Source organism: Homo sapiens, chromosome 15 (genome assembly GCF_000001405.40).
Source record: "Homo sapiens chromosome 15, GRCh38.p14 Primary Assembly".
NCBI lineage: Eukaryota > Metazoa > Chordata > Mammalia > Primates > Hominidae > Homo > Homo sapiens.
This window is the reverse complement of record NC_000015.10, coordinates 63,772,864-63,800,202: the sequence shown is the minus strand read 5'-3', so window position 1 is coordinate 63,800,202 and position 27,339 is coordinate 63,772,864. Positions and strand designations below refer to the sequence as shown.

Below are 27,339 nucleotides of genomic sequence, written 5' to 3'. Positions count from 1 at the left end.
ATTAACAAATGCATTAGTGGAGAGAATATTTCCCCATACCCCAGTTTCTTTCTTCTTCTTTTTTTCTTAAGAGACTAGGTCTCACTGTCACCCAGGCTGAAGTGCAGTGGCATGATCACAGCTCACTGTAGCCTTGACCTCCTGTGGCTCAAGGGATCCTCCTGCCTCAGCCTCCCCAGTAGCTAGGACTACAGGCATATACCACCACATCTGGCTAACTAAAAATATTTTTTTCTGTAAAGATGGAGTCTCACACTGTTGCGCAGGCTCAGGCTGGTCTCAAACTCCTAGCCTCAAGTGATCCTCCCAAAATGCTGGGATTATGGATGGTAGCCACTGCACCTGGCCATGTTTTAGAGTACCTTGAGTCTGATTTAGGAATGGCTCCTGAAACCTGCTTAGAGAATTTCTCTGACTCCTTTCTGGGTTCTCTGCAATTTTAGTTTTGCTTGCAGCTATCCTTGTTAAGTGTTTGCCATTATTTTTTGGCATTTTATTGTCCTATCATTTTCCATCTTCTGTCTTTTCCTCAAATTCTATATTTTTCTTTGCTTTCAAAGCCTAGTCCCTTAATAACTGATCTCCACTACTACCCATGGAGATCATAATTTTCTTCCAGGGGTTTTGTAGATCATTGCCTCCTTTGGATACTGGCAGAAAGGATCAATATTTTTCTTTTTCTTTTTCTATTTTTTTTTTTTTAGAGGCAGAGTCTTGCTCTATCACCCAGGCTAGAGTGCAGTGGCACGATCATAGCTCACGGCAGCCTTGACCTCCTGGGCTCAAGTGATCCTCCCACCTTAGCCTCCTGAGTAGCTGGGACTACAAGTGCAAGCCACCATGCCTGGCTAATTTTTTAATTTTTGGAGAGACAGGGTTTTGCCATATTTCCCAGGCTGGTCTCAAACTCCTGGGCTCAACTGATCCTTCTACCTCAGCTTCCCAAAATGCTGTGATTACAGACGTGAGCCACTGTGCCTGGCCAATAGCTACTTTTTGTTAAAGCCTTAAGTATCAGAACTGAACTGAGGAAAGAGATAGGCAGAAGAGGGTGTCTCTGCTAAGCTACAGAGTTTATAATTTTGTTGAACAACTCCGTGTCATTGACTGATTTGAAGTTAACTTGTCTGAAAATTAAATGTGCAAGTATGACCTAGTTCTGAAACGTATCTTAAAAAGTAAGCCCAGAGATGACGCTTTAAAAAAGTCAACTTCTTTTTTAAAAAAGAAATTATTTGTGCCCTTTTTGCTTTGAGTTTGGAATTGGGACACCCCCAAACCTGATGGTAAAATATCTTATTTATAAATCCACTGAAGTAAGAAATAGTATGCAACCACTAAATGCTTAGGGCGTATAAAAAACTGACCTTAATATACCTATGAGTTACCATTTTGGTAGCCAAAAATATTTAAATGTAGAAACTAGTAGTAATTAATTAGTTAATTTAACAAACACTATGATGGTCTAGGTTGTATGGCAGAGAATTAAAATAAGGTGGAATCCATTCCTCACAGTGAGGAGTGAGTGCATTATCTGTTAGGGGAGTGACAATCCTAAATAATTGTAGGTCAAAGTGAGAGGTATCCTGTTAGAGAATTAGAAAGCACTAGTTTTCAAGTTCTGAAAAGCCCTGTAAGGTTTTTTTTTTTTTTTTGTAAAGTTTGAAGATATGAAGAGGAAGGACTTTAGTAAGTGAAGGAGAAGAGGATAGAAGCAGTGGTTTGAAGGCTTGGAATGACTTGGTGGTTTTAAGAACTTGTAAGATTTTCTTAAGTGTCTGTTACGTAGGTGGGAGAGGGTAGAAGAAAATTACCTGGAAAACACTTTAATTCCTGATTGTAAAGAGGCAGTTGTTGGTTAAAAGTAATTAGTCTTTAACTGGTTAAGCACTGAGTAGTCATTTGGGGTTTTCACTAAGGGAGTAACATCAGATTTTGGTTTGTAGAAAGATGGAGGATACACTAGAACTGGGGAGAACCTGCTATCAGGGAGCTGAATAAGGAAGCTACAGCAAGGAGAGAATTTTCAGTTAAATTTTATCCTAAAGCACTGATTCTGGGGTTGAAGGGAGAAGTAGCAGGTGGTAGTGTCACACTTCTCTAAAATAAGTGCTTTAGTGAGGTTGGGTGGGGCTGGGGACTTGGACATGTGTGTTTTGACAAGTTCTAACACTTGATTCTCATTCACATCCACTCAACATTTAGAGTTAATTTTTCCAGGGAGTGATATTATGGGGCAGTGAAAATAGCACTGGACTTCAGAATCTGGGGACTTATATTCACATCCTGACTCTGCCATTCACCTTGCATGTAATCTTGTTGTACTGTTTAATTTTTTGAAAATTGTTTTATGTTATTAATAACTATCTTACGGATTTTTGTGATAATTCAGTTGAAGTTCTGAAATCTCATAGGTATACAGTAAACATTTTGTAATCTCCTGACAGGTTTTCCCTGCCTGCTGCGCAGACAAAATCAATTAACAGAGACCACTACATTGCAGTAAAGGAAGAGTTTAATTGACAGGAGGCTGGCCATGCCATGCATGAGACAGAGTTATTATTCAAATTGATGTATTTCCCCAAAGGCTTGGAGTTTAGGGTTTTCAAGGATAGTTTGATGGGTGGGGGACTAGGGAATGGGGAATGTTGATTGGTCAGGGAAAAAAAAATGATTGGAGTGTGAAAAACAGTCCTGGTGTGATGAGTCTGCCTCTGCATAGGGCCACAGGATGTTAAGTCTTGAGGCAGGAGTCCAGGTGGGGTCATTCTGAAAGATAACACAAAAAAACCAATCTTAGATTCTATTATAATGATTTTCTCTATAAGAGTAATTGAGGAAGTGACAAATATTGTGACCCTTGGCCACATGACTCCTGAACAGTAAGGAATGATAGAAGAAGCTATACTTGTCTTGTGACCTCTAGCCATATGACTCCTGAGCAGTAAGGGATGATAGAAACTATGCCTACACCTTAGCAGAATTCAGGCCCCTCTCATAATCCTAACCTTGTGGCCTTTCATTAGTTTTATGAAGGTGGTTTAGTTTTGGGAAAGGTTATTATCATCCTTGCTTTAAGGTCAAACTATAAATTTCTCTGAAAATCAGCTTGGTCTTGTAAACTAAAAATAAAATTCTAAGCTCTCTAACCATCTGAATGGCCCCCTCCTCTCAGCAAGCATTCCAAAGTTAACCTGATAAACTAGTTCCGGCCATGATGGAAAGGGGGAGCCAGATATGCCTCATAATACCCTCCTCTCTTTTGGAATTACTGATAGAACAAGACTCTTTAAGTCTGATAAGAAACATTTACAATCTGTTCTCTGAAGCCTGTTACCTGGAGGCCTCATCTGCATGATAAAACCTTGGTCTCCATAACCCTTTATTGTAACACAGACATTTCTTTCTTTAGATAATAATTCTTTCAACCAATTGCCAATCTGAAAACCTTTCAATGTATCTATGACCTGAAAGCTTCTGCTTCAAGTTGTCCAGCCTTTCTGGACTGAATCAATGGACATTTTACAAGTATTGATTGATATCCCATGTCTCCCTAAAATGTATAAAATCAAGCTGTCCCTGACCACCTTGGGTACATGTCATCAGGACCTCCTGAGTCTGTATCACAGGCATGTCCTTAACCTTGGCAAAATAAACTTTCTAAATTGATTGAGACCTAACTCAGCTATTTTTGGTTTACAGTCTACACCCCGGAATGATCGATGATGGAGGTTAGAAGCGAAATGGACTTAACTGTGTCAAATTTCTCTTACTGTCATAATTTTGCAAAGATGGTTTCAGTTTTGTGAGTTTAAGTTTTAATTTAGAATTTACATTAGAAACTACTGAATTTAGTCACATTTCAGTAGTACCCTTATCCACATATTAAATGAAATAGAAACTTATTAAAAGTTGCAGAAGATGTAACTGTTGGAAAATATGTTGGCATATGGACTTAAGGGATGATACCCTTTAGTAGTGGACTAAATTTAGTTTAAAAAATATAATTAATTTATTCTACTTGTAAAAAATAAAGGTTCCTCTTCAAAGATTTTCCTCCCTATTTAACTAGGAATAAATAGTAACTTCTCTTAGAAGCAAAATTTATTTAAAGACCTGTGCTAACATTCTTAAAAATCTGCTAGCTGTGATAAAGAAATCAATGTACTTTATGTTCTTAGCTCCCACAATTTAGCCTAAATATTTGCCCTGGCATGCTTATACTGGTTCAAGCAAGCATTAGGTCGTAGCCTGTTCCTCTTCCTTATTTAAAGGTATTTTTACCTTTCTCAGCATTCCACAAGTTAACTTCCTGCTTCCTTGATTCTCCTCTGCCTTTGCCTCTTTTAAAAAGTTCTGAGTTGCTAGCCAGTCGGGACAAATACAGAATGTCAGGTCCCGTTCCAGCCAGTGGAAACTGGACACAGCAGTAGGGTGGACGCGTGAGATTATAAATGACCCTGTCTCTTTTGTTCGGTGTACTCTCGTGGCAGAACTGCTGGCGAGTATACCCTTTCTGCAGAAAGTATAAAAATGGCCTTGCTGAGTAAATTAAATTTATGTTCAAGTGCTATTTCTTTGTGGCACCAGGGAACAAGCATTTCAAACATACTGCTGGTTCAAATGGGCAAACATGAAATATCTTCAGAGTAATTCAAAATAGGAACCTTTTGTATCAGAGCTTTTCTATTTGATTGAAAATAAAATCAAGCCACTTAAAATTCCAATTAAATGTTAATTTTCTTATATTAAACTGATATTTTTTCCTCTCAATTTTATCTCTACTTCTGCAATCTTAGGTGCTATCAACATCTCTCATACACATTTCTGAAATCTGTTTTTATTGGTTATTTTATTTTAAAATTATCACTACTCTTTATCTACTTTGAACTTCTTTTTCCAAAATGATAAATGCAAGCAGAATATTTTAATAAAACCATTGAAAAAGGCAAGCTTTAGTAACTAAGACAATTGACCCAGTTTTTCCTTCCTCAGAATTTTAAGATCTTTAAAGCAGAAACTTGTGCTTTAAAACTGTATTGATACATTTAAAAATGATATAATTTGTATGTCATTTAAATGTTCAAGTAGGAAAAAGGATGATTATTCCTTTACTTTTTTTTTTTTTTTTTTTTTTGAGACAGAGTCTTGCTCTGTTGCCCGGGCTGGAATGCAGTGGCACAATCTTGGCTAACTGCAACCCCCGCCTCCCAGGTTCAAACAATTCTCCTGCCTCAGCAGCCTGAGTAGCTGGGACTACAGGTACACACCACCACGCCTGGCTAATTTTTGTATTTTTAGTAGAGATAGAATTTTGCCATTTTGGCTAGGATGGACTTGAACTCCTGACCTCAGGTGATCCGCCCACCTCGGCCTCCCAAAGTGCTGGGATTTTAGGTGTGAGCCACTGAACCCTTTACGTGTTTTTCTTAAACTGCTGGGTATGGGGAGTGGGAAAGTAGGGATCTTAGCTGTTCTAAGATGAAAGAGTGGCATCTCCTGCTAGAGTCCCAGTTGTAATGGGTGGTAGGTGAGATATTGTAAAATATATATTTGGTCTTCCTCATGTCTCCTGGAATATAACTCCTAAAATCTTTGGAATCTCCAAAGTGATCTGTGTCTTTTTGTGTGCTAATGAATTTGCTGATGCCTGGTCACCTCTGGTTAGCTTCAGGATTGGGGCTGGTCACTGGAAAGACTGAGCCATGATTAGAGGGTTAGTACTTTCAGCCCCATCCCCAACCTCTGGGAAGGGGAGGAAAGAAGGGCCAAAGATTGAGTTGATCACTCAGTGATTCAACCAGTAATAGCTAGTAATGAAGCTTCCATAGAACCACAAAAAGACTGGGTTCAGGTGTTACAGGAAAGGGGTTCTGATCCAGACCCCAGGAGAGGGTTCTTGGATCTCACGCAAGAAAGAATTCAGGGCGAGTCTATAGAGTAAAGTGAAAGCAAGTTTATTAAGAAAGTAAAGGAATGAAAGAATGGCTACTCCATAGACAGAACAGCCCCAAGGGCTGCTGGTTGCTCATTTTTATGGTTATATGTTGATGATATGCTAAACAAGGGGTGGATTATTCATGCCTCCCCTTTTTAGACCATATAGGGTGACTTCCTGACAGTGCCATGGGATTTGTAAACTGTCATGGCGCTGATGGGAGTGTAGCAGTGAGGACAACCAGAGGTCACTCTCATGGCCATCGCAGTTTTGGTGAGTTTTAGCCAGCTCCTTTACTGTAACCTGTTTTATTAGAAGGTCTTTATGACCTGTATTTTGTGCTGACCTCCTATCTCATCCTGTGGCTTAGAATGCCTTAACCGTCTGGGAATGCAGCCCAGTAGGTCTCAGCCTCATTTTACCCAGCTCCTACTCAAGGTGGAGTTGCTTTGGTTCACACATCTCTAACACAGGGAACTTCCAGATAGCTGAACCCATAGAGGTTCTGTACTGGAAAGGGGTCCCTATCCAGACCCCAAGAGAGGGTTCTTGGATCTTGCGCAAGAAAGAATTCAGGGCGAGTCCACAGAGTAAAGTGAAAGTGAGTTTATTAAGAAAGTAAAGGAATAAAGAATGTCTGCTCCATAGGCAGAGCAGCAGCAAGGGCTGCTCCACTAAGGATAGTTATAGTTATTTCTTGATTATATACTAAACAAGGGGTGAATTATTCATGAGTTTTCTGGGAGAGGGGTGGGCAATTCCCGAAACTGAGGGTTCCTCCCCCTTTTAGACCATATAGGGTAACTTTCTGACATTGCTAGGGCATTTGTAAACTATCATGGCACTGTTGGGAGTGTGTTTTAGCATACTAATGCATTATAATTAGTGTATAATGAGCAGTATGGACTACCAGAGGCCACTTTCGTGGCCATCTTGGTTTTGGTGGGTTTGGGCCAGCTTCTTTACTGCAACCAGTTTTATCAGCGTGGTCTTTACGACCTGTGTCTTGTGCCGACCTCCTGTCTCATCCTGTGATTTAGAATGCCTAACCTCCTGGGAATTCAGCCTGGTAGGTCTCAGCCTTATTTTACACAGTCCCTACTCAAGATGGAGTTGCTCTGGTTCAGACGCCTCTGGCAGTTCCTGGAGGGTGGCATCCCCAGAGAGGGCGTGAAAGCCCTGGGCCCCTTGCCCCATATCCTGCCCTATCCTCTTCATCTGGTGTTCATTGATACCCTTTGTAATAGCCTTTATTATAAACCCATAAATGTAAGTATAAGTGTTTCCCTGAGTTCTGTGAACTGCTCTAGAAAGTAATCAAACCCCAGGAGTGCGGTGTGGGAACCCTGCTTTATAGCTAGTTGGTCAGAAGCACAGATAAAACAACCTGGGGCTTGCGATTGGAATCAGAAGTGGGAGACAGTTTTCTAGGACTGAGCCCTCAACCTGTGAGATCTGTTGCTGTCTCCTGGTAAGTAGTGTCATAACTGAATTGACTTAGAAGACACCCAGCTAGCGTCTGCTGCAAGATTGCTTGCTTGGCGTGTGGAGAAAATCTCCCACACATTTGGTCACAGAAGTGTTCTGTGTTGTGAGAGTCTAATAGGAAGAAACTGAGTTCTTTCGTTCTATATCATCCAAGAAGGTAATACTAAATATTATTTTACATTAAAACCACACCATATATTATGAAGAAAAATGCCAAAATTGTAGGAGTTTAAAGTAATTTCTTGCTTAAAAGGGAATTAGTTGGGGATACTCCAAACTCCTGGAAGCACACGTTCATTCTGCTTTGCTGATAGGGTTGTATCTGGAAAGGGTTTTGAAAAGTCAGTAATATCTTCTGCACTAGAAGTTATTTATATTCTTTTTGTATTCCTTCCAGAGGTGGATAGAATGTAGTAAGAACCAATTTTGTGTGTTGAACATTTGGGTTTCATTTTCATATTATTTTAGAAGTGGAAAGGACTTCGGAGATTATTTTATTCAAATCCCTTATTTTTTAGATGAGGCCTGGAGAAGAGGGTATGTGTTCTTGCCCAAGATCATTTCTTGGGTATTAGAACTTTAATTTCCTGATACCATCTAATATTTATTGAATTGCACTGGTCTCTTTGTAGCTAAGGTAGGAGATTAGAAACTGGTTTAAGACATTAAGGTTGGAGAATATTGGTCAATTGAATATAAAGCTATCAATCAGTGAACCTACTATGTACTTTATTGGAATTTTTGGAAAAATGAAAAATTAAATCAGTTATCAATTATTACACTTTGCCCCCAACTCAGACAGTTGCTGATAACAAGAATTACACTGGAAAGCAGTTGATTAAATCAGTGATTTTGTTTTTGAACAGTTGTGTGGGGCATCAATATAGGAGATGTTACTGCCAACAGATAATTATTTAGCTTTGAAATAAATGGTTTGAAAACTTGCTTTTATAAAATATTTGAAGAAATATCAACTTCTTTATTCTTAGTAAGGAAAAAATTCATTCTAAATTTTCACATTGAGAGAGGGACTGCTGATTATAGTTGGTGTGAATGGGCTTACAGCTTAAAACATTTAGACATCGAATTGATTTTAAGTGTTTTAGAACTGAAGGAACCTGGATTTGCAATTTGAACTCCCTCGAAGAATTGTTTTTTACTTTCATTTGCCACAACATAATGTGTTAAAGAAAGAACTAGGCAGAATTTATCCAGTAACTAAAAGTTTTATTGGAAATGTTACTAGTTGGATGTTCTATTTTGTTCTTTGAACTTCCCTCTGCTGATCTTGTTTTGAAAAAGATCATCCCTTATGTTTGGCAAATCTTGCTGCATTGATGATTCATCTTTCTGTTTGTACAAGGCATCTTCAGAATATACACAGAGCTCGTATTTGTAATATATGTATACGTACATATATACATATAAATCTGAAAATTTTTGAGTCCCAGCATAATATACCAAGGAGATGCTCATTGGAACATTTCAGATTTTGGATTTTCAGATCAGAGATGCTCAACCAGCAACAATGCAAATATTCCAATAATCTGTACATACACACAATGAGAAGTTATTAAGTAAAACTATCTCAGAGTGTCTGGGGGAGAAGGTTGATAGATATGTCATCTCTCAGGTATTTATCCCCAAACTGCAAATTTCTGTATGTCCGAGGAAAGGACAAACCCATTAAACCTACTTTATTATTTATTTTCCAAACTTTCTGTGTTTTAGTTAGAAGCGTGATAGATACAGTCAACCCTTTGAAAAACTTTTTTAGGATTTTTTGTTGTTAAAATGATGTTCGTAAAAACAAGCCTTCTATAAAGATATCTTTCAGTTTTTATATACCCAAATTAAAAGAATAATAGGATAGGGATTATAACTTTTGATTATATTACAATTGAAAACAATATGGTCATACAAACTTTTTTTGTTTTTCCTTTCCTTGAGAAAAATTTAAGACTGAAGAGAAGTACAGAGAATTAAAAAAAAAAAAAAGAAAACCCTACTGTGTTTCTTCTGCCAGCATTTAACAAGTGTTTATGCAGTCATTTTTAAACTTAAAGAAAGGGAAACATAACACACAAAGTTGATGTCCTGTTTGATACCCACCAACCCCCTGGGCAATCACTATCCTGAGTTTGGGTGTCTATTATTCTAGTATTTAAAAAGTACTTTTTAAAAAAAAAATTTTTTTTTGAGACGGAGTCTTGCTGTGTCGCCCAGGCTGGAGTGCAGTGGTGCGATCTCGGCTCACTGCAAGCTCCGCCTCCCTGGTTCATGCCATTCTCCTGCCTCAGCTTCCCAAGTAGCTGGGACTACAAGGCGCCCGCCACTACCCCCGGCTAATTTTTTGTATTTTGGTAGAGACGGGGTTTCACTGTGTTAGCCAGGTTGGTCTCGATCTCCTGACCTCGTGATCCGCCCGCCTCGGCCTCCTAAAGTGCTGGGATTACAGGCATGAGCCACCGCGCCTAGCCTAAAAAGTACTTTTACATACATCTCCATTTCTACAACCAATATTGGTGGTAGAGATAGCAATAATAAAATGATAATGATCATAATAGCAGCTTACGTTTATTGAGTATGTACTGAGTTCCAGGAGATGAGTCCAAGAACTTTATATGTGTTATATCATGTAGCCCTCATGGCAATGATAGAGGTTCTTTTATTATCCATTATATTACAGATAAGGAAATTGAGCCATGGGGAAATTAAGCAACTTGCCCCAGTCAGCTAGTAAATGGTATAGCCTAGATTCAAACCTAGCTGTTCTGACAGACTTTTTGGGGTTTTCCTTTTAACTTACATAGTTTGATTCCTCTAATATTGTTTGTGTGATCTTCATCTTCTTTCTAGTATTTAGCTGGATTCTTCTGATGGGTTTTTGAGGTATTCAGTATCATGTAAATAATAAAAATGTCTAGAATATATAATACATTTATTTATTTATTTATTTATTTATTTATTTATTTTGAGACAGGGCTCGCTTGGTCGCCCAGGCTGGAGAGACCTGGGTGGCATCATCTCGGCTCACTGCAACTTCCACCTCCCGGGTTCAGGTGATTCTCCTGCCTCAGCCTTCCAAATACCTGGGATTACAGGTGCCCGCCACAACGCCTAGCTAATTTTTGTATTTTTAGTCGAGATGGGGTTTCACCATGTTGGCCAGGCTGGTCTCGAACTCCTGACCTTGGGTGATCTGCCTGCCTCGGCTTTCCGAAGTGCGGGGATCACAGGCGTAAGCCACCATGCCGGACCTCAGTTTCATTATTGATAATAGTGGTGACAAGTGGGCACTCTTATATTCTACTTGACTCTAGAGTCAATACTGCTAATGGTTTTGTTTTGTGATATATAATTTTAAATCATTTAAAAAAACCTTTTGGCCGGGCGCGGTGGCTCACGCCTGTAATCCCAGCACTTTGGGAGGCCGAGGCGGGCGGATCACGAGGTCAGGAGATCGAGACCATCCCGGCTAAAACGGTGAAACCCCGTCTCTACTAAAAATACAAAAAATTAGCCGGGCGTAGTGGCGGGCGCCTGTAGTCCCAGCTACTTGGGAGGCTGAGGCAGGAGAATGGCGTGAACCCGGGAGGCGGAGCTTGCAGTGAGCCGAGATTGCACCACTGCACTCCAGCCTGGGCGACAGAGCGAGACTCCGTCTCAAAAAAAAAAAAAAAAAAAAAAAAAAAAAACCTTTTATTCCTGCTTTATTAGTAGATTTTTTATTAGGAATGGATTTTGCATTTTATCAAGTTTACTTTTAACATCTCAACATAACATGAAATTGGTTAATGTTAATAGATTTGCCTATGTTGAGCCATCATTATATTCCTGGAATGAACTCCTATTAATGTACTTTCTCATTTTCATTGCTAAATTTTTTTTTTTTTTTTTTTGAGACGGAGTCTTGCTCTGTTACCCAGGCTGGAGTGCAATGGCGCGATCTCCTGCCCCAGCCTCCAAGTAGCTGGGATTGCAGGCACTTGCCACCACGCCCAGCTAATTTTTGTATTTTTAGTAGAGACGGGGCTTCACCACGTTGGTCAGGCCGGTCTCGAACTCCTGACCTCAGGTGATCCACCTGCCTCAGCCTCCCAAAGTGCTGGGATTGCAGGCATGAGCCACTGTGCCCAGCTGCTAATATTTTTAATTGCAGATTTTTATTAATTATAGATTATGAAATCCACAACTGTGGTAGTATTACAGCTGTACTTTTTGTGCTTCATTAAGTTTTGCTATTGTTACTTTATTGACTGCTTAAAAAGAACTGAGACTCTTTGCTCTATGCCCTAAAACATTTAAAGTAGCTTAGGAATTGTCTGTTGAAGTCATGATAGAATTCTTCCTTAAAACAATCAGGGCTTTATTTTGTTGTGATTATAGTTTCTTTAAATCTCATTACTGATTTATTTCGGTAGTATCCCAACTATATTATCCCAATTCTCCAATTTACAGTAAATAACTGTTAAATTGGTTTTTTTGAAATGCATCCTTCATTGAGGGCATATAGGTATCAGATGCTGTGTTAGGTGCAGATAACACTTTTGTTCCCCAAATCATCAGTCTGACTTGTACTGGATTATAGAATAGAAACCCAAATTCATTTGTTTGTTAACTGTCTTTTTCACATTCTGTACTGCTTTTCATTTTCCTACAATTTTATACAAATGTCTTTATGTATTGTAGCTATTCTGATCTACTTCCTATTCTTTAAATGCACTTGAACTTTCTTTCCTTTGAGTTCAATTTGATGAAACTGGCTTGTAAGGTTTTTTGTTTTGTTTTGTCTTTTTTTTTTTTTTTTTTTTTTGAGACAGGGTCTCACCCTGTCGCCAAGACTGGAGTACAGTGGCACAATCTTGGCTCACTGCAGCCTTGACCTTCTGGACTCAGGCGGCCTCCCCAGTATGCCTCCCCAGCTGGGACCACAGGCATACACCACCACGCCCGGTTAATTTTTTGTATTATTTGTAGAGTCGGGGTTTTGCCATATTGTCCAGGTTAGTAAGTTTTTTAAAAAGAGATGGAGTCTTGCTGTATTATCCAGGAGTGATCATAGTGCACTACAGCCTTGAAATCCTGGCCTCAAGTGATCCTCCTGCCTTAGCCTCCCAAGTAGCTAGGACTGTAGATGTGTGCCACCGAGTCTGGCTCTATAATAGTTTGACCCATCAAAGTCATTCTTGATGTAGCGAACTTTTTTTGAGTATTTGTTGCCCACCATTGGTTCTCTCTTCTTTCAGTAACATACCCTCAGTTCATTTTGGGGAAGCATTATCTGCCAGATATATTTTTTTAATTTAAATAATTTATTGGTCAGCCGTGGCGGCTCATGCCTGAAATTCCAGCACTTTGGGAGGCTGAGGCAGGTGGATCACCTGAGGTCAGGCGTTTGAGACCAGCCTAGCCAACATTGTGAAACCCTGCCTCTACTAAAAATACAAAAATTAGCTGGGTGTGGTGGTGCATGCCTGTAGTCCCACCTACTCGGGAGGCTGAGGCAGGAGAATTGCTTGAATCCTGGAGGCGGAGGTTGCAGTGAACGGAGATTGCACCACTGCACTCCATCCTTGGTGACGGAGTGAGACTCCATCTCAAAAATAATAATATGATAATAATAATTTATTGAGACTGGGGATGGTGGCTCATGCCTGTAATCCCAGCACTTTGTGAGGCTGAGGCAGGCAGATCACTTGAGGTCAGGACTTCAAGACCAGCCTGGCCAACATGGTGAAACTCCATCTCTACTAAAAATGCAAAAATTAGCTGGGCATGGTGAGACCATGCCATTGCACTACCGACTGGGCAACAAGAGTGAAACTCCGTCTCAAAAAATAAAAAAAAAAAAAATAATAATTTATTGAGTTGAAGTTCACATCACGTACAATTAACCATCTTAAAGTGAGCGATTTAGTGGCATTTAGTACTTTCACAGTATTGTGCAACTACCGTCTCTAGTTCCAAAACATTTTCATAATTCCAAAGTAAAATCTTACCAGTTTCTCCATTTTCCCTTCCTCTCCAGCCTCTGGCAACTACTAATCTACTTTCTATCTCTAAGCATTTGGCCATCCTGTACTGTACATTTCTTATAAATAGAATCATACATTATATAGCCTTTTATATCTGGCATCTTTCAATTGGCAGAATGTTTACAAGGCTCAAATTATAGCATGTATCAGTATTTCATTCCTATTTATGGCTGAATAATATTCCACTGTGTAGATAATATGACATTTTGTTTATTCATTCATATCTTGATGGTCATTTGTGTTGTTTCCACTTTTTGGCTATTACGAGTAATGCTCCAGTGAATGTTTGTGTACAAGTTTTCATATGAACATGTGTTTTCAGTTCACTTGGGTATAGATCTAGGAGTCGAATTGTTGGGCCATAAGGAAACTCTGTTTTTAACTTTTTGAGATACCACCAGCAAACTGCTCTTCACAGCTGTCTTTCGATTCTTCTTCTTCTTCTTTTTTTTTTTTTTTTTTAATAGAAACATGATCTTGCTGTGTTGTCTAGCCTGGCGTGTAGTGGCTATTCTCAGGCACAATCATAGCATACTACAGCCTCGAACTCCTGGCCTCCAGCAGTCCTCCCACTTTAACCTGCTAAGTAGCTGGGACTACAGGCACACTGCAGTGCATCTAGCTTGTCTTTCCATTCTTATTTATAATATTGAGTACCTTATGTTTTGTCTTTTTTTTCTTAATTTTGTTAGCTGATTGTTTTCATTTTTTTCCACTAAAGAATTATCTCTTGGGTTGGGCATGGTGGCTCACACCTGTAATCCCAGCACTTTGGGAGGCCCAAGTGGGAAGATTGCCTGAGTCCAGGAGTTTGAGACCAGCCTGGACAACACGGTGAGACCTCTGTCTCTAAAAAAGAAAAAGAAGAATAATCTCTCTGAGATATCAATCCTGTTGTTTTTGAATTTTTCTCATTTACCAATTTCCCTTCCCTTCCCCTTCCCCTTTTCCTTCCTTCTTTCCTTCTTTATTTAGAGACAGGGTCTCTGTTGACCAGGCTGCAGTGTAGTAGCATGATCTTGACTCACTGCAGCCTTGACCTCCTGAGCGCAAGGGATCATCCCACCTCATCCTGCTGAGTAGCTGGGACCACATCATGCGCCACCATTCCTGGCTAATTTTTTGTATTTTTTGTAGAGATGGGGTTTCTCCATGTTGTGCAGGCTGGTCTTGAACTCCTGAGCTCAAGTGATCCGCCCACCTTGGCCTCCCAAAGCCTTGGGATTACAGGTGTTAGCCAGCGTGCCCAGCCTAATATTCTTAAAGTTTATTTTGTTTTTCTAATTTTGAATTGAATTATTAATATATTTAATTTTTTTAAGAGACTTTGTCTCACCTTATTGCCCAGGCTGGAGTGCAGTGGTGCACTTATAGCTCACAGCTTTGAACTTCTGAGCTCAAGCGATCCTCCCACCCAAGCCTAAGTTGCTGGGACCACAGTCGTGTACCACCATGCCCAGATAATTTTTAAACATTTTGTCAAGGTAATGTCTTGCTATGTTGCTCAGGCTGGTCTTGAACTCCTGGCCTAAAGCTTCCTCCCACCTTGGCCTCTTAAAATGTTGGGATTATAGGAGTGAGCCACCACACCTGGCTTTCAGTTAATTCTTACTTAGAAATGGAGCATTTGAGTCTTTATATATTTATTTGAGTCAACTTTGACTACATTCCCTTGATTTTGATATATGTTTCTTTTATATAACTTTCTAGATAATTTGTAACTCCTTTCCCCTTCCTCTCTTTGTCTGAGAAACTTAGTTTCCAAAAATTTAGGTTTTGCCTTGTTTTGGATTTCTTTAAAAATGCTTTTTGAAAATTTGCACTGATAGGCCAGGGGCAGAGGCTCACGCCTGTAATCCCAGCACTTTGGGAGGCCGAGGTGGGCTGATCACCTGAGGTCAGGAAAGCGAGCCCATCCTGGCCAACACAGTGAAACCCCAACTGTACTGAAAATACAAAAAAAATTAGCTGGATGCGGTGGCAGCCACCTATAGTCCCAGTTACTTGGGAGGCTGAGGCAGGAGAGTCGCTTGAACCTGGGAGGCGGAGGTTGCAGTGAGCCGAGATTGCGCCACTGCACTCCAGCCTGGGTGACAGAGTGAGACTCTGTCTCAAAAAGGAAAAAAAAAAAAATTTGCATGATAATACATGCATATATAAGAAATTCAAATTTATGCAGTGAAGAGCAAATATCTTTCCTACCCCAGCTCCCAGTAACCCAATTCTCCTTCTCCCAGAGGCAACTAGTGTTCCTAGGTTTTAAAAAAATGTTTTCAGCATTTATTATTAAACCCTTTTTAATATAGTTATGTTACTGTATATGAACTATTACAGTATACACAAATACTTTACATATTTTTCTTTTTTAACAGTGTATCTTGGAGATTGCTCCATTTTAGTTGTTTTGTGAATTCTTTTTGGTTTCACTACTTTCTGGCTAGAACTGTGGTCTATAATTATGTGTATATTTTTGAATTATTTGTTAGATAATAGTCAATTTGAAAATATTTTCCACTGGTACTTAAAAAGAACATATTTTAGGATATGGATAATATTTTAGATTAGATTTATCATCTTGGATTACATAGATGACTTCAGGACATCCATGAAACCTTTGGAAATTTGCTCATTTTTATGAGTATGAGCATGAGTTTTATTCTTTTTTTTTTTTTTTGAGATAGAGTCTTCCTGTGTCACCAGGCTGGAGTGCAGTGGCATAATCTTGGCTCACTGTAACCTCTGCCTCCCGGGTTCAAGCCATTCTCCTGGCTCAGCCTCCCGAGTAGCTGGGATTACAGGCGCCCACTACCATGCCCAGCTAATTTTTGTATTTTTATTAGAGACGGGGTTTCACCATGTTGGCCAGGATGGTCTTGATCTCCTGACCTCGAGATCTGCCCGCTTCAGCCTCCCAAAGTGTTGGGATTACAGGTGTGAGCCACTGCACCCGGCCCGATCATGAGTTTTATTCTTTGGGGAGTCACGGTCTACTGCTTTTATCAGATTCTCAAAGGAATTCATGGTCTACCAATAGATTTAAGGACTGGTGGTTTATATACTGTTGTACTTTGCCTTATTTGTCAAGTACTGGCATATACCTTAGAGATACTGTGGTTTGGTTCCAGACCACTGCAATAAAGCGAAAAGTACAGTAAAGCAAATAAATCACAATAAAGCCAATGTCATAGTAAAGCAAGTCACACAGTTTTTTTGGTTTCTCAGTGTATATAAAGGTTATGTGTACCGTATACTGTAGTCTGTTAAGTGTATAATAGCATTATGTCTAGAAAAGCAATGTATGTACCTTAATTAAAAAATACTTTTTTTTTTGCTAAAAAATGCTGAGAGTCCTCTGATCCTTCAAAGAGTTGTAATCTTTTTGCTCATGGAGGGTCTTGCCTTGATGTTAATGGCTGCTGACTGATCGGGATGGGGGTTGCTGAAAGGTTGGGATTACTTTGGCAATTTATTAAAACAAGACAACAGTGAAGTTTGCTGCATTGATTGGCTCCTCCTTTCATGAATGATTTCTCTGTAGCATGCAATGTTGTTTGATAGCATTTTACCCACAGTAGAACTTCTTTCAAAATTCAAAAGGAGTCAGTCCTCTCTAACTCTGCTACTGCATTATCAATTAAATTTATGTAATATTCTAATCCTTTGTTGTCATTTCAGTAATATTCACAGCATCTTCACCAGGAATATCTTTCATTTCAATAAACTACTTTCTTTGCTCATCCATAAGAAGCAACTCCTCATCCGTTAAAATTTTATCATGAGATTGCTGCATTCAGTCACATCTTCGGGCTCCACTTCTAATTCTACTTCTCTTGCTATTTCCACCACGTCTGCAGTTACTTCCTCCACTGAAGTCTTGAACCTCTCAAAGTCATCCGTAGGGGTTAGAATCAACTTCTTCCAAACTCTTGTTAATATTGATACTTTGGCCTTTTCCCCATGAACCATGGATGCTCTTAATGGCATCTACAATGGTGAATCCTTTCCAGAACATTTTCTATTGACTTTACCCAGATCTCAGAGGAATCACTATCTGTGGCAGCTATAGCCTTACAAAATGTATTTCTTAAATACTAAGACTTGAAAGTAGAAATGACTTCTTTATCCATGTGCTGCAGAATGGATGTTGTGTTTAGTAGGCATGAACACAACATGAATCTCCTTGTACATCTCCAGTAGAGCTCTTGAGTGACTAGGTGCGTTGTCAGTGAACAGTAATGTTTTGAAAGGAAGCTTTTTTCTGAGCTGTAGGTCTTAACAGTGGGCTTAAAATATTTAGTAAACTGTGTAGTAAACAGATGTGCTGTCATCCAGGCTTCGTTGTTGGATTAGTAGAGCACAGGGAGAGTAGGTTTATAATAATTCTTAGGTGCCCTAGGTTTTTCAGAATGTAAAAGAGCATTGGCTTCAACTTTAAGTCCACCAGCTTCGTTAGCCCTTAGCAAGAGACTCAACCTGTCCTTTGAAGGCAGGTATTGAATTATTTCTAGCTATGAAAGTCCTAGATGGCATCTTCCAATAGAAGGCTGTTTTGTCCACATTGAAAATCTGTTGTTTAATATAACTACTTTCATCAGTTACCTTAGGTAGATATTCTGGATAACTTTGTGCAGCTTCTACATCAGCACTTGCTGCTTCACCTTGCACTTTTATGTTGTGGAGACAGGTTCTTTCCTTAAGCCTCATGAGTGAACCTCTGCTAGCTTCAAACTCTTCTGCATTTTCCTTACCTCTCTCAGCCTTCATAGAATTGAAGAGAGGGCCTTGGTCTGGCTTAGGCTTTGGTTTAAGGGAATATTGTGACTGGTTTGATATTCTATCCAGACCACTCAGACTTTCCCCATATCAGGAAAAAGGCGATTTCACTTCTTTATCATTTATGTATTCATTGGAGTGGCTTTCTTGGTTTCTTTAAGAACTTTCCCTTTGTATTGCAACTTGGCTAACTGGCGCAAGAGGCTTAGCTTTTGGCCTGCCTTCCTCACTAAACTTAATCATTTCTGGCTTTTGATTTAAAGTGAGGGACATGGTGTCTTCCTTTGTCTTGAACACTTAGAGGCAATTGTAGGGTTATTAGTTGGCCTAATTTCAATATTGTTGTGTCTTAGGCAATAGGGAGTCCCAAGGGTAGGGAGACTGGGGAATGGTTGGTTGGTAGAGCAGTCAAAACACGTACCATTTATCGATTAAGTTTGCCATCTTATATGGGTGTGCTTTGTGGCACCCCCAAACAATTACAATAATAACAATCAAAGCTTGCTGATTACAGGTTACCATAACAGTTATAATAATAATGAAAAGTTTGAAATATTGTAAGAATTACCAAAATGTGACACAGATACATGAAGTGAACACGTACTTTTGGAAAAATGGCACCAATACACTTGCTCAAATGAGGGTTGTCATAAACCTTCAATTTGTAAAAAAGATGCAGTATCTGTACAGCACAGTAAAGTCAAGTGCAATAAATGAGGTATGGCTGTATTTAAGTCTCTATTACTGTGGTTGCCATTCTTCCTATATTCTCTGTGGTTTCCGCTTCATTGTTTTATAACTCTGCTTGTAGTAAAATAAAACTGTTTGTGACAGTTTTATTAGTGATTATACTGTTCATCATTACCAAGTAACCCTTTTTGTCCCATTTATTACCTAACAGATGATACTTTTTCTGTTTGCATTTGTTTGTTATATCATTACCCTACATTTTATCTTCAACATTTTGAAATCACTTGTTTTAGATCCATCACTTAGGATATACATTTAAAAAATGATTTACTTATTAGATTTATAGTTATATACATTTAATTTATAGCAGAGATTATAAATTTTGGGCCATAACTACTTTCATATATGTTTTATTCAGTTAGCATATAGGTTATTATTATTTCACATCAGTCTTTATCTTTTGGTTTTAATAGGTGAATTTTACAGATGTTGATGTAGTAGCTGTGCTCGGTCTTACAGCTAACCTTTAGTCTCTGTTTTACCTTTTTTTTTTTGAAACGGAGTCTCATTGTGTTGCCCAGGCTGGAGTGCAGTGGCACGATCTTGGCTCACCGTAACCTCCGCCTCCCGGGTTCACACCATTCTCCTGCCTCAGCCTCCCGAGTAGCTGGGACTACAGGTGCCCACCACCACGCCCAGCTAATTTTTTTGTATTTTTAGTAGAAATGGGGTTTCACCGTGTTAGCCAGGATGGTCTCAATCTCCTGACCTCGTGATCCGCCCACCTCGGCCTCCCAAAGTACTGGGATTACAGGTATGAGCCACCGCGCCCGGCCTTCTGTTTTACCTTTTTAATACTTGCTTGTTTTCTTTCTTTATTTCCTGTTGTTAGATGGCCTCTGTTTCTTTGATTCATTTCCTGTTCTGTCTTTGTATAATTTTGGAAAATATATGGATTTACCCAGATGACTAGACAGCAGTAATTAACCAGAAATGGAAATGAGGAAATTCCATTCATAGTAATCACAAAATCAAAAATACTTAAGAATCAACAGAAAAGCACAGGATTTATATGAAGAAAATCTAAAATAGGATAGGAGCAAATAGAAATGCATACTTTGTCCTTGGATGAACAAATTTCATAAAAATGTCTATTTTCTGAAAGTACATAAATCTAATGCAATTCAGATTGGAACCTCAATAGTGTGTTGGAAGGGATGGCATATAATTGAATAAAATAATCTTTTTTTTTTTTTTTTTTTTGAGATGGAGTCTCCCTCTGTCGCCAGGCTGGAGTGCAGTCTTGTGATCTCGGCTCACTGCAACCTCCACCTCCCGGGTTCGAGCGATTCTCCTGCCTCTGCCTCCCAAGTAGCTGGGACTACAGGCGCGCACCACCACTACTGGCTAATTTTTGTATTTTTATTAAAGACGGGGTTTCACCATGTTGGCAAGGATGGTCTCCATCTCTTGACCTCGTGATCCTCCCACCTCGACCTCCAAAAGTGCTGGGATTACAGGCGTGAGCCACCGTGCCTGGCCTGAATAATATCATCTTAAACTTTTGGGACTTGCCTTACCAGTCATCAGAACATTTATACATTTATAAGCCTATTGTAATCAAGTCACTGTTGTAAGAATAGACAAGTGGACCAGAATAGAGAATCCAGAAATAGATCCTGTTAGTGGAAAAGTGAGTTATTTTGTTGTTTAGATCTTCTGTTTTCTTATTTTTGTTCACTTGATCCATCTTGTACTAAGAGTGGTATATTCATGTCTCACGTTATTAGTGTTTCTATTTATGTTTCCTTGCATCTCCTGTAGTTTTTGCTTTATAAAAGCTGTGGCTGTGCTATTTTGTTTTAAAATAATGCCTGGCTAATTCTTTTGCTTTTTAAAGTAATTTCATCTCTTTGCTTGGAGGTCTTTAGGATTTTATCTTTGTCTTTGAAATATAATAGTTTTTCTAGGCTATTTCTTGGAGTTGATTGTCTGGGTTAATTTTCTCAAGTACCTTGTATATTGATTCAGATATTTTTTCTATTTTAGAAAGTTTTCTTGCATTGTAGCTATAAAACCAGCTCTGTTTTTGTTTGTTTTGTATTTTTCTTCCTCACGTAATCCAATAATATGAATATTATTCTTTTTTCTTATCTTTTTCTAATTATTTCTCTCACCCTTTTCATTTTTCTTTATGTCATTGAGTCTACTCTTCCTTGAACACTTTTATAATTCATTCTTCATTGCTGAGATAATTTTGCCTTTTTCTTCATATTTCTTTCCTGAGTTCAATTACCTCTTTCCCTTTCTTTCTTCCTTTCCTTTTCTTCTTTTTCTTTCTTTTTGTCTATTTCTGCTTTCAGTTTTTGAATTTTTGATTCAGGATTTTTCATATCATCATATGTTTCAGTTTATTTAATTTTGTTTGGATTGTTAACTTACACTTTGCTTTGTCGTCATCAGGGAATTTCCCTCAATTGATAAATGTAAAATTTAATTTTGTTTTGTTTTCTGCAATAGCTCTGTATGCACTTGAGTTTTCTCATGTTCGTTTTTGTGGTATCGAGTATTTTATAATATTCTTAATTTAATTGCATTCTCTTCAGTCAATATAGCAAAGTCCAAATACAATAGCAGAAATTTTGTTTGTTTTACTTGAGGAAAGGGTTGTTCTGTCTTCAATTTTATGGGTCTATTTTGCCTTGCAGGACACTAAATATTTCCCCTTTTTCTTCTTTTACCCTTCACCACTCAGTTGTTAAAGCATGCTTCTCTCTTCCTTTTTGCTTTTTCTTTCCTCTGCGTTTCAACAAATGCTTATTTAACACTTGTCTTTTTAAATTGCACCTGCTGTCTTAAACCGTGCCTTCTGCTTTAAATTAAATGTACTTTAAAATCTCTTCCCTGTAGTCTGTGCTCTGATCTGCCCAGATACTTTTCCAGTGTTTTCAGATACGGTGTGGATTTAATCTTTCTGGGAGTCACTCCAAATCATTTTTAGCCCCCTTCACTAGCCTTTCTCCTCTGTCTTTTCTGCAGTTTTTCTTAGTCTGCCTTTGCTTGCCACAAAGCCTTATGGCTGGATGGAGGTGAAAGCATGTACCCTGGATTGGTTGACTTTTTCTCTTTTTTATTTACAATTATTTGCAATTTTGGCATTCTGTATCTTCAAGTTATGCTACAGGTGTGGTTTGGTATAGAATTTAATTTTTCCTTCTTGTTTTTCTTAAATTTTGGGCAGATAGCTATGCAGCTGCCATTGTCTTCAACTATGTAGAAGTCCTGGATTACTTAATAAATGGTGTTGGTATAACTAGCCTTCTACCTGGAAACAATAAAATTGGACTCAGCTTGTCCTATATAGAGTGTATTAAACTTCCAGATGAATGTAGAATTTATTTTAATTCCAGATGGACTAAAGACTCAGGTTTTTAAAAAAAATCTCTCAAGAATATCAAGGTGGTTTTGTATAGGTGATTACCTATATAATCTAGAATTCATGTGGAATCTGGGTGTGAGAGTCGGGCAGGGATACTCTTTTGACCAAGAATGGAAAACAGAAGCTATAAAATAAAAGATGTGTGTGTATGTAAAAGATAGATTTAGAAGAAATATTTGCAATGTTGAGGACAGACTGTGATAAAATACAAAAAACTTTTACAAGTTGACAAGATAACAAAATAGGAGAATGCATGAATAAATATTTCCCAGAAGAGCATATCCAGATGACCAACAAACATAAGATGTTCAGATTTATTAGTAATCAGAGAAATACAAATTAGAGTAACAACGTATCCCTGTACAGCTATCAAACTGGCCAAATTTAAAACAGCAAAATTACATATGGCTTATGTGGGAAGGGATGGAGGTAAATAAGGCACTTTTATGTCCTCTGCACAATGCTGGTGTTTAATACCAAATGAAGTCAGGGTGGGATGGAGGATCATGATTTTCCCCCCTCTTAAGTGCATACTTTACAAGTATCTTAGGAAGATGAATTAAGCATAGTAATCATAAACTTGTGAAGGCAAGTGTCATCAGATTTTATATTTAGAATTTACCAGGGCATAATGAGATATAAGAAACTCCTTTTAATTACTGTAGTCTGGGATCTTTATCATTGGAGTGCTTTCTTGAAGATCTGCCTGTGTCATGAAAATTAAATTCCCTTCAGTGATTGAGGTTTCTCTCTATTACCAGCTATTATAAGTGACATTCTGAGGACTTGCTTGAGAGACACCTTCCCTGCAATATTTTGTAATTAAAAATTTTGTGTGTATATAAAAAATATATGTCAATGCATCTTATTTCTGATGCATTTCAAAATAAACTACAGATGTCTGTTTACTTCCCTCAAATATACTTCAGCTTGCATATCATTATTCAGTATTTGTTGAGGCAAAATTTACATGCAGTGAAATGTAAAAATCTCAAGTGCACTTTCACTGAGTTTTTTTATTTTTATTTTCTTATGTAGAGACGAGATCTCACTGTGTTGTCCAGGCGGGTCTCAAACTCCTGAGCTCAAGCAGTCCTCCTGCCTTGGCGTCCCTGAATGTTAGGATTATGGGTGTGAGCCACCATGCCCAGCCCACTAGGTTTTAACAAATGCGCAACCTGTGTATTCCACACCAGTATTGAGACATAGAATATTATCTCAAGAAGTGTCCTCATGCTCCTCACAGTCAGTTCATGCTGTCACCCTCTAGAGGCAACCACTATTTTGATTGAAGTATTTTTATGGTCTTATGTTTTCTTTTGGATAAATCTTTAGAAGAGGAATTGTTGGGTCATAGGGTTAGATATATGTTTCGTTTTATGAGAAACTGCCAGCCACCTTTCCAAAGTGGGTGTTCCATTCTACAATTATGAGTCCCAAAGTTTTTGGCTCAGGGAACTAGAAGGATGGAGTTACCATTTATTGAGAGAAAGAAGTCTACAGGAGGGACAGGTTTGGGTGGGGTGGTGGTACTGGTAGAATAGGAGCTCAGTTTTGGATATGTTAATTTTGAGATATCCAACCATAACCAAAACTGTTAGATAGCCATGTGGAGGGGCCAAGTAGGCACTTGTGTATATGAATTTGGATTTAGGGAGAAGGCCTGGGTTGGAGATAAAAAATTGGGAGTCATCAGCTGTAGAACCCACTGTTACACAGATAATGGAATCAGAACTGAATGGAAAAGGTACATCTGAAGAAATTACTGTTTTTTAACATAAACTTTTTTTTTTTTTTTTGAGACGGAGTCTCGCTTTGTCACCCAGGCTGGAGTGCAGTGGCGCGATCTCGGCTCACTGCAACCTCCGCCTCCCAGGTTCAAGCGATTCTCCTGCCTCAGCCTCCCAAGCAGCTGGGACTAGAGGTATGTGCCACCATGCCTGGCTAATTTTTGTATTTTTAGTAGAGATGGGGTTTCATAATGTTGGCCAGGCTCGTCTTGAACTCCTGGCCTCAAGTGATCTGCCCACTTTGGCCTCCCAAAGTGTTGGGATTACAGGCGTGAGCCACCGCACCCGGCTGCATTTCACCAGTTTGAAATCATTAATTGTAATGTAAGATGAAATTTTGGAAACATTTTATGAGTCCTCTGTATGTTTTTGACTGTTTTCTCTTCTCCCTTTGCAGGACTAATGGCTGAAGGATAAATCAACATGGCAACTATGATTCCACCAGTGAAGCTGAAATGGCTTGAACACTTGAACAGCTCCTGGATTACAGAGGACAGTGAATCTATTGCTACAAGAGAGGGAGTTGCTGTTCTGTATTCTAAACTGGTTAGCAATAAGGAAGTAGTACCTTTGCCCCAACAAGTTTTATGCCTCAAAGGACCACAGTTGCCAGACTTTGAACGTGAGTCTCTTTCAAGTGATGAGCAGGACCACTATTTGGATGCCCTTCTTAGCAGCCAGCTAGCATTGGCAAAGATGGTATGTTCAGATTCCCCATTTGCCGGGGCACTTAGAAAACGACTGCTTGTACTCCAGCGTGTCTTTTATGCACTTTCTAATAAATACCATGACAAAGGCAAGGTGAAGCAGCAGCAGCATTCTCCGGAGAGCAGTTCTGGTTCAGCAGATGTCCATTCTGTTAGTGAACGCCCCCGGTCAAGCACTGATGCACTTATAGAAATGGGTGTTCGAACTGGTCTAAGTTTATTATTTGCGCTTCTAAGACAAAGTTGGATGATGCCTGTGTCAGGACCTGGTCTCAGTCTTTGCAACGATGTCATTCATACTGCAATTGAAGTTGTGAGCTCTTTGCCACCATTATCATTAGCAAATGAAAGCAAGATTCCTCCTATGGGCTTGGACTGCTTATCGCAAGTAACAACATTTCTTAAAGGAGTCACTATTCCTAATTCTGGGGCAGACACTTTAGGTCGTAGATTAGCTTCTGAGTTGCTGCTTGGTTTGGCAGCTCAACGAGGCTCATTGCGATATCTTCTTGAATGGATAGAAATGGCTTTGGGGGCTTCGGCAGTTGTACACACCATGGAGAAAGGCAAACTACTCTCAAGCCAGGAAGGAATGATCAGCTTTGACTGCTTTATGACCATATTAATGCAGATGAGGCGTTCTTTGGTACGTACTATAAGTCTCAACTTTAAAGTTCATAATAGTTTTTGGAAAAGTCAATGCAGTTTTTAATGAATTGGTGGTAATAGTGAATGATTTGAGACTTTTGGTGATTGTTGAGTTAATTAAATATTTCATATACTTGGAGTGAAGAAACTTTTATGCATGTTGATAATATATGGTTGGTACAGTGTTAAGACTACTGCATCAGAAGTCAGGTTTATAGTTTTAGCTTTGTGGATTCTCATGTGAACTAGGGAAATTCATCTAACTTTATGTTTTAGCGAACTTATGAAAAATTAGAGATTTTGGCTAGTGATCAGCAGGTCTTTAGAAAAAAAAACCTCTTATTTTCATATTTCCCAATTTATGTTAAACATTTACTATATGCCAAGTACTATTCTACACCTTGGGGCAACAGCCTTGAGGATACAGTTTCCACCCCCATGGAGCTAACAGCCTAGTAGAGGAGTCAGATAATAAATATATAATTTCAGGTAGTGAAAATTTCTAAGAAGAAAAATAAAAGAGGGAAAGGGAATAGAGACTGGTAGACTTAGGACAGAGTTTGGGAGGTGAAAAGTTGCTGTTTTAGTTAATGTGGTCAGGGGATGACTCTCTGAATTGTGACATTAAAGTAGAGACCAGAATGAAGGGAAGTGATGAGCTAAGGAAAGATCTGTGAAGAGCGTGTTGTCAGAGGAAATTAATTATTTGACTATCATAACCTTGGATACAACATTAAAGAATAAATAATAAAATAGCGTAGTATAATCAATTTCAAGAATTTGTAAGACTGAAATATACCTTTGTGAAAACCAAGAATAAAAATTCAAATGTTAAAATACAAATTTAGGCTGGGTGCGGTGTCTCATGCCTGTAATCCCAGCACTTTTGGGAAGCTCAGGAGGGTGGATCACTTGAGGCCAGGAGTTTGAAACCAGCCTGGCCAGCATGGTGAAACCCCATCTCTACTAAAAATACAAAAATTATCCGGGTGTGGTGGTGCGCACCTGTAATCCTAGCTACTTGGGAGGCTGAGGCAGGAGAATTGCTTGAACCCAGGAGACGGAGGTTGCAGTGAGCAGAGATCATGCCACAACACTCCTGGGCAACAGAGCGAGAATCTGTCTCAAAAATAAAATAAAATAAAAAAAAATAAAATACAAATTTAAAATATTAAGACTCAAACACTTAAAAGCTGACTTAATTTTAATTAGGTTACATTGATCAAGTCTTTTTTTTTTTTTTTTTTGAGACAGAGTCTAGCTCTTGTCACCCAGGCGGGAGTGCAGTGGTGTGATCTCCACTCACTGCAACCTCTGCCTCCTGGGTTCAAGCGATTCTCCTGCCTCAGCCTCCCGAGTAGCTGGGATTACAGGTGTGCACTAGCATGCCCGGCTAATTTTTGTACTTTTAGTAGAGACGGGGTTTCACCATGTTGACCATAGCTGGTCTGGAACTCCTGACCTCAGGTGATCTGCCCACCTTGGCCTCCCACACTGCTGGGATTACAGGTGTGAGCCACCACACCCGGCCTACATTGATTAGTCTTTTCGGTATCCTTTGTTACCAGATGTCAACCAACAAATCTATTTAGTTAAAATAACTAAAAATGTCACTTATAAATGATATATGTATATTTCAAGTCTCCCCCTACCCGCAACAAGTAGAAAGCTTTTGGACAGGAGTGTCTCATAAAATCCAATTATGTTGAATTTATTTTCAAACCAGGGACATTTAAGTTTTCACCTACTTTTTGCATTTATGAACTAAATGGTAAATATTGGGTCATGTTTTACAATTTTATCATAGGTAAGTACTTGGGGATTTTAG

At 38.9% G+C, this 27,339-nt stretch overlaps 1 protein-coding gene across 50 annotated transcripts in view; it reads left to right on the top strand.

Moving 5' to 3' along the window:
* Positions 1-27,339, top strand: part of HERC1 (HECT and RLD domain containing E3 ubiquitin protein ligase family member 1) — a 225,331-nt gene that overhangs the window by 33,746 nt on the left and 164,246 nt on the right. For 41 of the 50 annotated variants that reach the window (XM_047433260.1, XM_047433247.1, XM_047433234.1 and 38 more), the window contains exon 2: positions 24,554-25,509. In XM_047433260.1, the coding sequence (XP_047289216.1) occupies positions 24,580-25,509 (930 nt within the window). In that variant the 5' untranslated portion in view covers positions 24,554-24,579. Of the gene's footprint in view, positions 1-20,173; positions 20,621-20,845; positions 24,291-24,553; positions 25,510-27,339 lie in introns of those variants that run through there. The other 9 variants (XM_047433248.1, XM_047433236.1, XM_047433244.1 and 6 more) reach the window with 3 other exon arrangements.